Consider the following 13,779-nt stretch of genomic DNA (forward strand, 5'->3'; position numbering starts at 1 on the left):
TAGGGAAAAAAACAGAAATAAAAACACAAACTATGAAATATTACAATAAATGCTATAAAAGAAATCTATACACATTATGTCCTGAAGTAAGAAAAGATACTAAATAAACTCAGGACAATCAGCAAGGTTTCAAAGAATGACAAAAAGTTTAACAAGAGAAAAGGAAAGGAAGAGAGGGCATTCCAGTTAAAAGGAATAGGATATAAATTAGGATTTTATAAAAGCATAAAGATATTAAACAATATTGTATAGTCATTAAAAATACATGTAGCTGACTTTTACAGAGTATATGTGATGGAGCAAAAGTCTTGGGAAATTTGCTTGGAGAGGTATGCAAAAAAACAGATAATTAAAACCTTTTTATACCACAAAACTTCATTCTAGAGATGATAAGTCCCTAACCTGCTTTCAATTAGTCAACAAAAATATACTACAAATCATGGTACTAACAGGTACCATGTGAAGTTCTGGGAACCCTTGATAAACAAGATACAATCTCTGCTTCAAGAAGCTCACATTCTAATGAGGGGAGGGAGGGTTTACACACAACTAAACAAGAAATTATGACAGTATGCTATAACAAAAGGAGGCACACAAACTAGAGGAGAAGCTAACAAAACTTGAGGGTGGGAAGGTAGACAGTGTAGAGATAAAAGAAACCACCACATAAGATGAGGTCAAATAAAGGAGGTAACAAGTAGCATAAAGGTTCAGAGGTAGGGGAAAAAAAGGAAGGGCAAGGGAAAAGAAATGAGAATAGAGAGAGATGAGGCTGTAGAGATAAAAGTATATCCTTCATCCTAAGGACTATGAATAGCCTTTTGGTTTTAAACAGAGAAGTGCTACTGATCTGATCTGTATTGCAGAATGAATATTCTGGAAAGAAGGTGGCTAATGGCTTAGAAGATAAGACTGGAGGTAAGGCCAGTTAAAAGGCTTTTTGCTGTCAGATAGGCAAAGAAAAGAAGCCTCAGCTAAGGAAACAGTAAGATTCTGAAAAGTAGATATTAAAAAGCTATTAAAGAATTAAGAAGGCTGTATAAATAGAACTTGGTGATTTATTTCTTTCATTGGGAGAGGAGTGAGTAAAATAGGGGTATGAGATAACCAGGTTTAGATAGAAGCTACACTCATGTGTAGACAATGGGTAATTCAGAGTTCATCTGTAGGCAGGTAGGCAGAAAAAGCATGGAATAAGTGGCAGTGTTAAATAGTACAAGCCTTTCAGAAAGCTCTTGGTGATATATTTCAAGATCATAAAAATTATTATCCTTTGATCTAGTAACTGCACCCTAGGAATCTATCCTAAAGAAAACTCTAAAATATTTTTAAAGGATTTCACCTCAAAGGTGTTTACTACAACTTTATTCATTATAGCAACATTTTAAAAATACCCAAATGAAAGTAATTAAAAACTATAATACATCTACTAAATGGAATAATACGCAGCCATTAAAATGAGATTTATGAAATAATTTTACACAGAATATGATTTTGTGTTATTTAAATTAACAATGAGATAACATTGTTCACCACTGTTTTCCAAGAATTAAAAAGAATAACTAAACCCAGGTGTGGTGGCACATGCCTGTACAGTCCTAGCTACTCGGGAGGCTGAGGCAGGAGGGTCACTTGGGCCCAGTTGTTCGAGGCCAGCCTGGGCAACATAGCAAGATCCTGCCTCTACAAAAAATAAATAAATAAATAAATAAATAAAAGAATAATGAATACAGGTGATGCTAGAGGAAAACACTACTCTTATACATTAGTCTAGGGAGTATAAACAAATTCCTATAACATTTTTAAAACAATGTGAATTATCTGTTAAAATTTAAGACAGATATATACTCTCTGCCCCACACATTCTATTTTGGGAAAGCTCTACTATACAAACACTAATATGTAGCTCTAAGTTTAAGAATATTTATTACAGTAAAACCCACAAAAACTTACAATAACCTGAATGCCCATCAATAAATAATGGTTATATAAACTATGGTATAGCCATATTATGATATTAGGTAGTTACTGTATAGAATGTGGTAGATCCACATTTACTGACCTACAGTGTGTTCTTCTTGTATTGTAAAATGAGAAAAAGATGTTGCAAATGTATATACAGAATACTACTTTTGTAAATAAACATATGTCTACACTTTCACATATGTGTAAGTCTCTGTACATGATTATATTTTAATAGAGTAAGATATTAGACTATTAACATTTACTTTGAGGGGGGGATGGAAATGGGAAGGTAGGGGTACAATACAAGCAAAACATAAAAATATATGTATTATAACACTAAGCAAAAATGTAAAACAAAATTCAGTCAATGATATAACTAGAAATAAGTAAAACTTGATTAGAAGATGACAACGAAATAAAAACAATAATTGAATTAAGGAATAGGTTTATGCAAAACCTTGACCTAAATTCCTATATTACTTTAATATGGTATTTGCAATAAAGCACAAAAAAATTTCATGATATAATATTAAAGGGAATACAAACAGGACACCAATATCTATCACAGTATGAAATTATATGAAATAAGTAAAAAAGTGTGAGAAGTTACACCAAAATTCTACTAATGGTTCTCTTTGTATAAAGGGTTATGCTGATCTATTTTTTCTTACTTATACTCTCTAAATTCTTCATATAATACTTTAATTTAAAAAGAGACTTTTATGTGTCACTGGAATATCAGCTAATATTGGATTTGATGCGTCAAATCAAGAAAACCATAATGGTTTTAAGGGCTTAAAAAGTAATAGCAACATGCCGGACGCGGTGGCTCACGCCTGTAATCCCAGCACTTTGGGAGGCCAAGGCAGGCGGATTACAAGGTCAGGAGATTGAGGCTATCCTGGCTAACAAAGTGAAACCCCATCTCTAGTAAAAATACAAAAAATTAGCCCGGTGTGGTGGTGAACGCCTGCAGTCCCAGCTACTCGGGAGGCTGAGGCAGAAGAGTGGTGTGAACCCAGGAGGCGGAGCTTGCAGTGAGCCGAGATAGCACCACTGCACTCCAGCCTGGGCGACAGAGCGAGACTCCGTCTCAAAAAAAAAAAAAAAAAAAAAAAAAGAAATATGCCTGGACACCTATAAAATGGGACTCTCCCATGTAAGCCAGGACATGGGTTTAGCCCATCTACAGCTCACAATTATGAAACTTGGATACTTAGAAGAAAGAAGAAAAAGCTAACATTATTGAAGTTTAATTTTCCTTACGAAACAGAGTGCTGAAAAGGAATATAAGGATAAAATCATTGATATGATCATCCACTAGTTCTTCTGATGACTTCAAGAGCCCTACTTAAGAATTTCACTGAATAAGCACTTCACTTGCACAGTTAAATTAATACATCAATCAACCCAATATAATCTAAAAAAGACAAGTTATCACAAACCATTGAACTAAAATCTATAAATGAATACTATTAATACCTAAAAAGATAAATTAAAAAAATTAACTAGACTATTAATAACACAAAGATTTAAAATTAAAAAGTTCCAAATGTATGAAGAAGCAGTAATATCATTGCTTTCTTGGGTTTCAATAACACATTCCATTATAAGAGACCTGGTGTCATAAAACAGTAACTAAATTACGTCAATAGGCCTGAAGCTGTCTGAGCAAGGCTTTAGTACAAGAACTAGGGCCCAGGCCGAGCGCAGTGGCTCACACCTGTACTCCCAGCACTTTGGGAGGCTGATCACCTGAGGTCAGAAGTTTGAGACCAGCCTGGCCAACATGGTGAAACCCCATCTCTAACAAAAATGCAAAATTAGCCAGGTGTGGTGGTGCATGCCTATAATCCCAGCTACTCGGGAGGCCGAGGCAGGAGAATCGCTTGAAACCGAGAGGCGGAGGTTGCAGTGAGCCGAGATCGCACCACTGCACTCCAGCCTGGGTAACAGAGTGGGACTGTGACTCAAAAAAAAAGAACTAGAGCCCAGAGTTCTGATCATCTATGAAAAACTTAGTTCAGACTTGGTAAATAAGATGAGACAGAAAAGTCAAGTAAAATAATCTAACATAACCTAATTCTTAAATTCTGAAATGTTAACACAGGTAAAAGCCAATTACTAGTAAGTATAATTATTAACATACTACTAAATTTTTAGTTTCTAAAAAGTATCAACAGGCCAAAGAAATAAAAGATCTGTATGTATGGCAGCCGGAACACTAACATTTTATTTGATGTTTCTATTCCTCATGGGAGCAAAGCCACTACAATCTTTTCTAGCACAGTGCCAGAGAAGAGCCTTAGAACACTGTGCAAGTGACTCAGATCTATTTCCAAGACCCTTGACCCATAAATTCTGATTCATTAGGCCCAGGTGATTCTGATGCAGAAGGTCATTGGATCAAACCGCAAAGTGCAAACAACTGACCTAGCACACTAAGTCTCACACTTTGGGACCATCAGAATCACCTGGAACGCTATTAAAGCACAGTTTACTGGCTGTACTCCCCCAGTTTTTTGTTTCAGTAGAGATCTGAAGTGGGGCCTGAGAACTGGTACTTCTAACAAGTGCCCAAGTGATGCTGGTCCCTTTGAGACCACCTTGAGAACCATGGCCAGAAAGTAATGAAAAGCACAGCACCTGAAAGAGAGTCCTCCATCCAATTAAAATAAAAATATTTTTTAAAAAGCAAAGGTAAGCAAAGTATGGATGCCTTAAACCTAATCAGTATTTTTTTAAAATGGCTTCAGTTGTAAAACATAACTTTTACTCTATTTATACACTAATATGCTTATTGGAGAATATTTAGGAAACAAATTGTAAAGAAGAAAATAAAAAATATCTATAAACTCACCTGTCAGGAAAAAGCATTGTTAATATTTTGGTATTTATCTTTCTTGTTTTATCTCTATGGAAGTGTAAGTATATCATATTCATCTAATTTTGTTTTCTTATAAAAATTTGTTTTTAAATAAAAATTGCTTAATGGAGTGCTAAGAATAATATAAAGATAAAATCATAAAAGTGTCATATCAGAATAGATTTTTAATTACTTAATACAGTATAAGGATTTCCAAAGTCACTGAATGACTCTGAAGTTTGATTTTTTAAAAAATGAATACATAGTTAGAATTCTTGTCCAAATGCAAAAATATTCATTTAAAATAAAATAGGTTGGGCACAGTGCCTCACACCTATAATCCCAACACTTTGGGAGGCTGAGGCAGGTGGATCATTTGACGTCAGGAGTTTGAAACCAGCCTGGCCAACATGGTGAAACCTCGCCTCTACTAAAAATACAAAAATTAGCCAGGCGTGGTGGCGGGCACCTGTAGTCCCAGCTACTCAAGAGGCTGATGTAGGAGAATCGCTTGAACCTGGGAGGGAGAGGTTGCAGTGGGCCAAGATTGTGCAGCTGCACTCCAGCCTGGGCAACAGAGTGAGACTTCATCTCAAAATAAATAAATAAATAAACAAACAAACAAAACATACAAGCAGGCATCACTTTGCATAGTGCTGTGTTAACTGAAACACAGAAATACGGGAACTCTGTCCTCCTTTCGCATGATTCTAGGTAACTGTGGTGACTGTGAAAGGGGAGGACATGGTTCCAATGTGCACACATTTCTGTTAATTTTAGTGCCATGGAAAGCAAGGACTGTGATAATTGAGGTTCATACTGAAGATTCCACTCAAGAAAAGATATTCACTATATATTGTTTTACCAAACATGAAGGAGGGTGATCTAAGAAAGAGTTCTACCAAAAAATAAGGACAAGATAAAATTTATGTACACCAATAATCTGAACAAAGTGTTTCTACTGATGTTCTATATATTTAGGACTGCAGATGAAACCTATTTGTCACAAAATATACACTAAGTGCCTAGAACCTCAATCTATCTTTGGAAAGTCAGATACAACAACATAATTTCTTTAAATATTTAGCTAGTGGAGGATTTTTTTTTTAACTTTAAAGGGTTAATGTTTACAATTATGTTTCACAGGTTTATGTCAAATTTAAAAATAAATGGCAAAAGAATATTCTGCAATCACCAAGTTATGTCAAGTTATCAATGCACGATTCAATGTTCCTTTATTTCCTATATGCACAAATATACTATACCTAGAGAAGAATAGCTTTTTTAGAGGGAAGAGAAAAAGAGTAACAAGATACACCGCATTAGGCAAGTAATTAAATGTGAATAATTAAGTGTAAGGATGTGCTATACTGTAGTTTAAATGTAAGAAATAGCTGCATTTTGTAGGTTCATTCATGTCGCTCAACCTAATATTTCTAAAGAAAGAAGAAACAGGTAGCAAACAGATAGAATGGTAACTAATCTGAAAAAATTATATCAACATAAAAAATTATTAATTACCACATCAGAAACTTAATTCTATCCTGTTTTGTAAGAAATATTTAACATGCAATTTTCCCATATACTTATATAATGTAAATACTGACAGTATCTATATTAATCTCATTAAAATATCCTTTAAAGGACATTATGCAAGCAAAGCCAAACAATAGTAAATATTCACCTTATCAATCAACATCACTTATCAGATGCTATGAAGAACACTCTTCATGTGCCAAGTATATGTTTTACAATTTAAGTTTAGTAAAACTAGAATTCACCATGTGTATTATACATTTTACTACTTATTCCATATATTAACAAAAAGAATAGCTAGAAAAAAATATAATGATGGTTAAATGGGTAAAAGGTTTATTTCATGCATCAAATATCATGCCATTTCTAATAAGCATTTAAAATATGCAATATCAGTAAACATTTCTAATCAAAATTTTGCCTATTGGAGGAATAAAATCATAGACTTCCATAACAATTTGTCTTAATCCTACAAAAAAAAAATTTACTGAGCAAGGAAATCTTTAGTAATACATATATTTATCTTTGCGTATTCAAATACCAATTATAACCACAGTTAAATTTTTTTTGTTTGTTTTCTTTTGAGATGGAGTCTCACTCTGTCGCCAGGCTGGAGTGCAGTGGTGCGATCATGGCTCACTGCAAGCTCCACCTGCCAGGTTCAAGTGATTCTCCTGCCTCAGTCTCCTGAGTAGCTGGGACTACAGGCGCACACCACCACGCCCAGCTAATTTTTTTGTACTTTTAGTAGTGATGGGGTTTCACCATGTTGGCCAGGATGGTCTTGATCTCTTGATCTTGTGATCTGCCTGCCTCAGCTTCCCAAAGTGCTGGGATTACAGGCGTGAGCCACCGTGCCTGGCCAGTTAAATGTATTTTTAAGCTAAGAAACTTTTAAGCTCATAAACAATGAGGAAAAGATAAACAATAGACCTATCTTTGCAAATGAAACCTGCAGACCTGCCATCTTACTCTTCCTGTAAATAACTAGAATGAGGTTTTTCCAAAAAAGGACACATGAAAGCATAGTTATGTGCTGAACTGGAGGGCAGCATAGCAGGACTATGTCCAAATGATAATGAGCATAAATGAGTAAGAAAATAGAAATGAAAAAGACTAAATTGAATTTTGTTCCACGGTCAAATAGATGAGTCCAAAGTCCGGGTGAAGGACAAGTTGTGAGAATATCTATTTTTAAAAAGTTGCCATTTCTAATAGTTATTGATAGTAGGCAGATGGCACAGTTCTTAATATGGCTGACTTATGCCATAAACACCCTGCTGAATTAAAAGTATGTTATTAGCACAATTATAAATACCTAAACGTATGTTATTAGAAGAAGCATGAATACCCTGAATATTTTCCCATTATATGAGTTATCAGAATATTGCTAATTTTAATTTTGATGATTTCTTACCAAATTAGTTTATTGTGTGAACTTTTCAGTGGTTTCAGGATAGGGTAGGAAAGTGGATTTTCATGTACTTTTTCTCTGTAGCTACATCTTACCTCTTCCTTCCTCTAATCTGTGCCTTCTGATTACACGTTGCCGTTTTTCTTCTTGTCGTAACTGAAGGTGTTCTTCAATGTTAACCCCGGGCACTGGGACAGCTAGATGATTGGCCAAAAACAACAACAACAACAACATATATGTTATATAATAGCTATGACAGAACTACATAAAATTCAAGAAAGTAAAAGCTAGCAAAAACATTGTCTAAAACACACAATATTTTTACTTTAATAATTCTTAGCCAAAAAGGGAAAAAGAATCTCATTCTGGCTAGGCATGGTGGCCCACACCTGTAATCCCAGCACTTTGGGAGGCCAAGGTGGGCAGATCACCTGAGGTCAGGAGTTCAAGACCAGCCTGGCCAACATGGTGAAACCCCGTCTCTACTAAAAATACAAAAATTAGCCAGGTGTGGTAGCGGGCACCTGTAATTCCAGCTACTCGGGAGGCCGAGATGGGACAATCACTTGAACCTAGAAGGCGGAGGTTGCAGTGAGCTGAGATTGAGCTACTGTACTCCAGCCTTGGCAACAGAGCAAGACTCCATCTCAAAAAAAGAAAAAAAAAAAAAAGAATCTCATCCCTTAAACAATGTCATATTGTCAGTTACCGTAAAAGCAGTATTGCATACATTAATTATTATCCTAATTTATTAACATATATCTAAAAGAAATTGTTTAAACTGTCAGACTTACTGAGTTGAGGACAACTCAGTGTAGCATAGTATAATCAATCAAAATTACCTAAAAGAAGATCTAAAGGTATCATTTCTTTCACTGCATCAAGAATTCCTCTTTGTCTTGCCTCTTGACCATCTAACTCTCTTGCACAGGCCTTGCAACATCCACACACAGCACAACCAGATTCTCCGGAACCACAACCACAGATCCTAGGGGGAAATACAAAAAAAAAAAAAAAAGACAACTGAGATATTCCTAATTTGTCTTTAAAACTCTTTTCTATAACTTATTTTCCACATTTTTGAAATTGTTAAATGAGTAAGCAATGAAATCACCTCTTTAGATCACGATTGTTCATTTTAAAGAAAAGATATAAATAGCAGAATAATTAAAAACAAGACTGATTAAACTCCCAATAGGCATAATTGGTATATTTCTACAGAAAATACACACAGATTCGACTATCATCAAAGTCACTACTTTAAAAACAATCCTTTAAAAGTCTTTTTGCAGTTAGTGAAGCACCAGAAGCTTTAGGATTAAGTGACCCAGATGGGTTGGTTGGCTAAAAACAATCAAACAATGTTGCTGTCCAGCAGATAAGTGAAGGCAGGTGTTGGTAGCCTTCAGCAACAGAGCCTAAGCTTGCCAGCTTCATGTAATATGTCTCCTTCCCATTCCCTATTTAATAAATGGTGCTGGGAAAACTGGCTAGACATATGCAGAAAACTGAAACTGGACCCCTTCCTTACACCTTATACAAAAATTAATTCAAGATGGATTAAAGATTTAAACATAAGACCTAAGACTATAAAAACCCTGGAAGAAAACCTAGGTAATACCATTTAGGACACAGGCATGGGCAAAGACTTCATGACTAAAACACCAAAAGCAATGGCAACAAAAGCCAAAATTGACAAATGGGATCTAATTAAACTAAAGAGCTTCTGCACAGCAAAAGAAAGTATCATCAGAGTGAACAGGCAACCTACAGAATGGGAGAAAATTTTTGCAATTTACTCATCTGACAAAGGGCTAATATCCAGAATCTACAAAGAACTTAAACACATTTACAAGAAAACAAACAACCCCATCAAAAAGTGGGCAAAGGATATGAACAGACACTTCTTACAAGAAGACATTTATTTATGCAGCAGAACTTAAATTTACAAGAAAACAAACCACCCCATCAAAAAGTGGGCGAAGGATAAGAACAGACACTTCTCAAACGAAGACATTTATGCAGCCAACAAACGAAAAAAAGCTCACCATCACTGGTCATTAGAGAAATGCAAATCAAAACCACAATGAGAAAACATGTCACGCCAGTTACAATGGTGATCATTAAAAAGTCAGGACACAACAGATTCTGGAGAGGATGTGGAGAAATAGGAACGCTTTTACACTGTTGGTGGGAGTGTAAATTAGTTCAACCATTGTGGAAGGCAGTGTGGTAATTCCTCAAGGATCTAGAATCAGAAATACCATTTGACCCAGCAGTCCCATTACTAGGTATATACCCAGAGGATTATAAATCATCCTACTACAAAGACACATGTACATGTACGTTTATTTCATCATTATTCACAATAGCAAAGACTTGGAACCAACCCAAATGCTCATCAATGATAGGTTGGATAAAGAAAATGTGGCACATATTCACTATGGAATACTATGCAGCCATAAAAAAGAATGAGTTCGTGTTCTTTGCAGGGACATGAATGAAGGCTGGAAACCATCATTCTCAGCAAACTAACCCAGGAACAGAAAACCAAACACTGCATGTTCTCACTCATAAGTGGGAGTTGAACAATGAGAACACATGGACACAGGAAAGGGAACATCACATACTGGGGCCTGTTGGGGGGTGGGGGCTAGGGGAGGGATAGCATTAGGAGAAATACCTAATGACCGGTTGACAGGTACAGCAAACCACCATGGCATGTGTATACCTATGTAACAAACCTGCACGTTCTGCACATGTATCCCAGAACGTAAAGTAACACACACACACACACACACACACACACACACACACACAAAGGAAATAAAAACATTCACACATTGGAAAGGAAAAAATAATACATATATATGTATATATATATGTATACACACACACACACATATATATACACACACACAAACACATATATGTCTCCTTCCCCCTCTCTTCTTTACATGCCTTCACCTCCCATTCTCTCCTTTCACAGAGTCCAATTACCTGTTCTTTTTCTCCTTCAGCCCTTTCATATCGATTGTGAACCATATGGGGTATATGTTGACAAAGACACTCCCAGAAACTGACTTGGGGTCAGGGAAAGTAACTTCTTAGTCACATATTTTGTAGAAGGTATAGCTTTAATGTAGTTCATCAGATCAGTTCTTGAAACTTTTGACAGCCTTGTTGAACCCCAGGTTATACAGATTTCAGAAGGTACAAAAGGAAGAACATATCTGGCAGCAGTTTAAAAGACATAGCTAGACACCCTGTGAAATGTGTCACTTTTAAAAGCAAGCATTATAAACAATTTGGAAGATCACTTACTACACAGTAAAAACTGTGACACAGTAATATGCCTGACTGACACTATTTTTAAAATAGTGTTTATGACACCAATTCTCAAAATTTTCCAAAAAACTGAAGAGGAGAGAACAAGAATTCATTCTTTGAGGTCAGGATTACCCCAATACCAATGTCAGACAAAAGATGAAGAAAAAGAAGAAGAAAGAAGAGAAGAAAGAAGAAGAAGGAAGAAGGAAAAGAAGGAGAAGGAGGAGAAGGAGGAAAAGAAGGAGAAGGAGGAGGAGGAGGAGCAGGAGGAGAAGGAGAAGGAGGAAAAGAAGGAGAAGGAGGAAGAGGAGGAGGAGAAGAAAGAAGAAGGAGAAGGAGAAAGAGAAGAAAGGGAGGAGGGAGAGGGGCAGGGGGAGGCAAAAAAAAAAACCCCTACAGACCAATATCCCTTATGAATAATGATGTGAAAATCCTCAACAAAATACTAACAAAACAAATTCAGCAGGATATTAAAAGAATTATACACCATAACGAAGTGGGATTTACTCCTGGAATGCAACAAATGAAAATCAATCCATGTAATGTAACACATTAACAGAATGAAAGAAAAGAAACACATGATCATCTCAATTGATGTACAAAAAGCATTTGACAAAATTCAATGCCCTTTCATAATAAAAACAGTAGACAAACTAGGAATAGAAGGAAATGATCTCAACATAAAAACCACATATGAAAAACACACAGTGAACATCATAATGGTGAGAGACTGAAAGCTTTTCCTCGTAATATCAGGAAGAAGACAAGGATGCTCACTTTGACCAATCCTAAACAGCACTAGAAGTTCTAGCCAGGGCAATTGGACAGGAAAAGAAATAAAGGTCATCCAAAGCAGAAAGGAAGAAGTAAAATTATCTATGTTCACAGATAATACAATCTCATAAGTAGAAAACCCTAAAGATTGCACTCAAAAAAACCAATAGAGAAAATGAATTCAGCAAAGTAGGAAGATACAAAGTCAACACACAAAAATCAGTTGTATTTCTAGACACTAACAATGAACAATATGAAAAGGAAATTACAGAAACAATTCCATAGCATCAAAAAGAATACACTTAGTAATTAACCAATGAGGTGAAATGAGAACTACAAAACATTGCTGAAAGAAATTAAAGATGACATAAGTAGAAACACATCTATGTTCATGGATTAGAAGACTTAATGTTTTTAAGATGTTCATACTACCCAAAGCAATCTACAGATTCATTGTAATCCCTATCAAAATCCCAATGATGGTTTTTACAAAATAGAAAAACCTATCCTAAAATTCATAGAAAATCTCTAGGGACCTCAAATAGCCAAACAATCTTGAAAAAGAAGAACAAAGTACTCGGTTTTGACTTCAAAACTTACTACAAATCTACAGTAATCAAAACAATGTGGTGTGGCATAAAGACAGTCATACAGACCAATGGGATAGAATAGACAGCTGAGAAATCTTCCTTCACATATATGGTCAGATGATTTTTGACAAAGGAGCCAAGATGGTTCAATAGAGAAAGGATAATCATTTCAATAAACATTGCTGGGAAAACTTGATCTGGACACTTCTCTAGCAGCATATACAAAAATTAACTCAAAATGAATCAAAGACCTAAATGTAAGACCTAAAACTATTACAAAAAAAAACAAAAAACTCTTAGAAGAAAAGGAACATCACACACCGGGGCCTGTTGTGGGGTGGGGGAAGCGGGGAGGGATAGCATTAGGAGATATACCTAATGTTAAATAACGAGTTAATGGGTGCAGCACACCAACATGGCACATGTATACATATGTAACTAACCTGCACGTTGCGCACATGTACCCTAAAACTTAAAGTATAATCAAAAAAAAAAAAAGAAGAAGAAAAGATAACAGTAACCCTTCACAACACTAGATTGGGAAATAATTTCTTGGATATGATACCAAAGGCACAGGCGACAATAACCAAAAAACAATAGACAACTGGACTTCATGAAAATTTTAAAAATTTTCTGCTTGAAAAGACAACATCAACAGAGTAAAAACACAACCCACAGACAGAACTTTTTATTTTCAAATCATATATCTGATAAGGAATTAATATTCAAACTATATAGAGAATTCCTAAAACTCATCAACAACAACAAAAGAAACTGACAACCTGATTCAAAAGTGAGCAAAGGACTTGAATAGCATTTCTCCAAAGATCTACAAATGGCCAAAAAGTATATGGAAAGATGCTGAACATCACTAATCACTGGAGAAATTCAAATCAAAACTATAATGAGATACTATCTCACACCCATTAGGATGCCACTACCAAAATAACAGATCATAAGTGTTAAGAAGGATGTGGAGAAACTGGAACATCTGTACACTATTGGTGGGAATGTAAAATGGTTGGCCGCTGTGAAAAATAGTATGGCAGTTCCTCAAAAGATTAAAAATAAAATTACCATATAGTCCAACAATTCCACTTCTGGGTATATGCCCAAAAGAACTGAAAACAGGGTCTCAAAGAGCTCCTTGTACACTCATCTTCACAGCGCATTACTCACAATAGTTACAATGTGGAAGCAACCAAAGTGTTCATCAGTGAGTGAATGGATAAGCAAAATGTGGTAATATACATACAATAGAATATTATTCAGCCTCAAAAAGCAAAGATGTTCCGACATATGTG

At 35.5% G+C, this 13,779-nt stretch overlaps 1 protein-coding gene across 1 annotated transcript in view; it reads right to left on the minus strand.

The window, feature by feature from the left end:
- The window catches only part of MYCBP2 (MYC binding protein 2), a 282,438-nt gene that overhangs the window by 190,526 nt on the left and 78,133 nt on the right, over window positions 1-13,779 (minus strand). The window contains exons 16-17 of the mRNA NM_015057.5: window positions 8,624-8,769; window positions 7,877-7,978 (exon numbers count right to left, since the gene is read on the minus strand). Coding sequence (NP_055872.4) covers window positions 7,877-7,978; window positions 8,624-8,769 — 248 coding nt within the window. The remainder of the gene's footprint in view (window positions 1-7,876; window positions 7,979-8,623; window positions 8,770-13,779) is intronic.

Source organism: Homo sapiens, chromosome 13 (genome assembly GCF_000001405.40).
Source record: "Homo sapiens chromosome 13, GRCh38.p14 Primary Assembly".
Classification (NCBI taxonomy): Eukaryota; Metazoa; Chordata; class Mammalia; order Primates; family Hominidae; genus Homo; species Homo sapiens.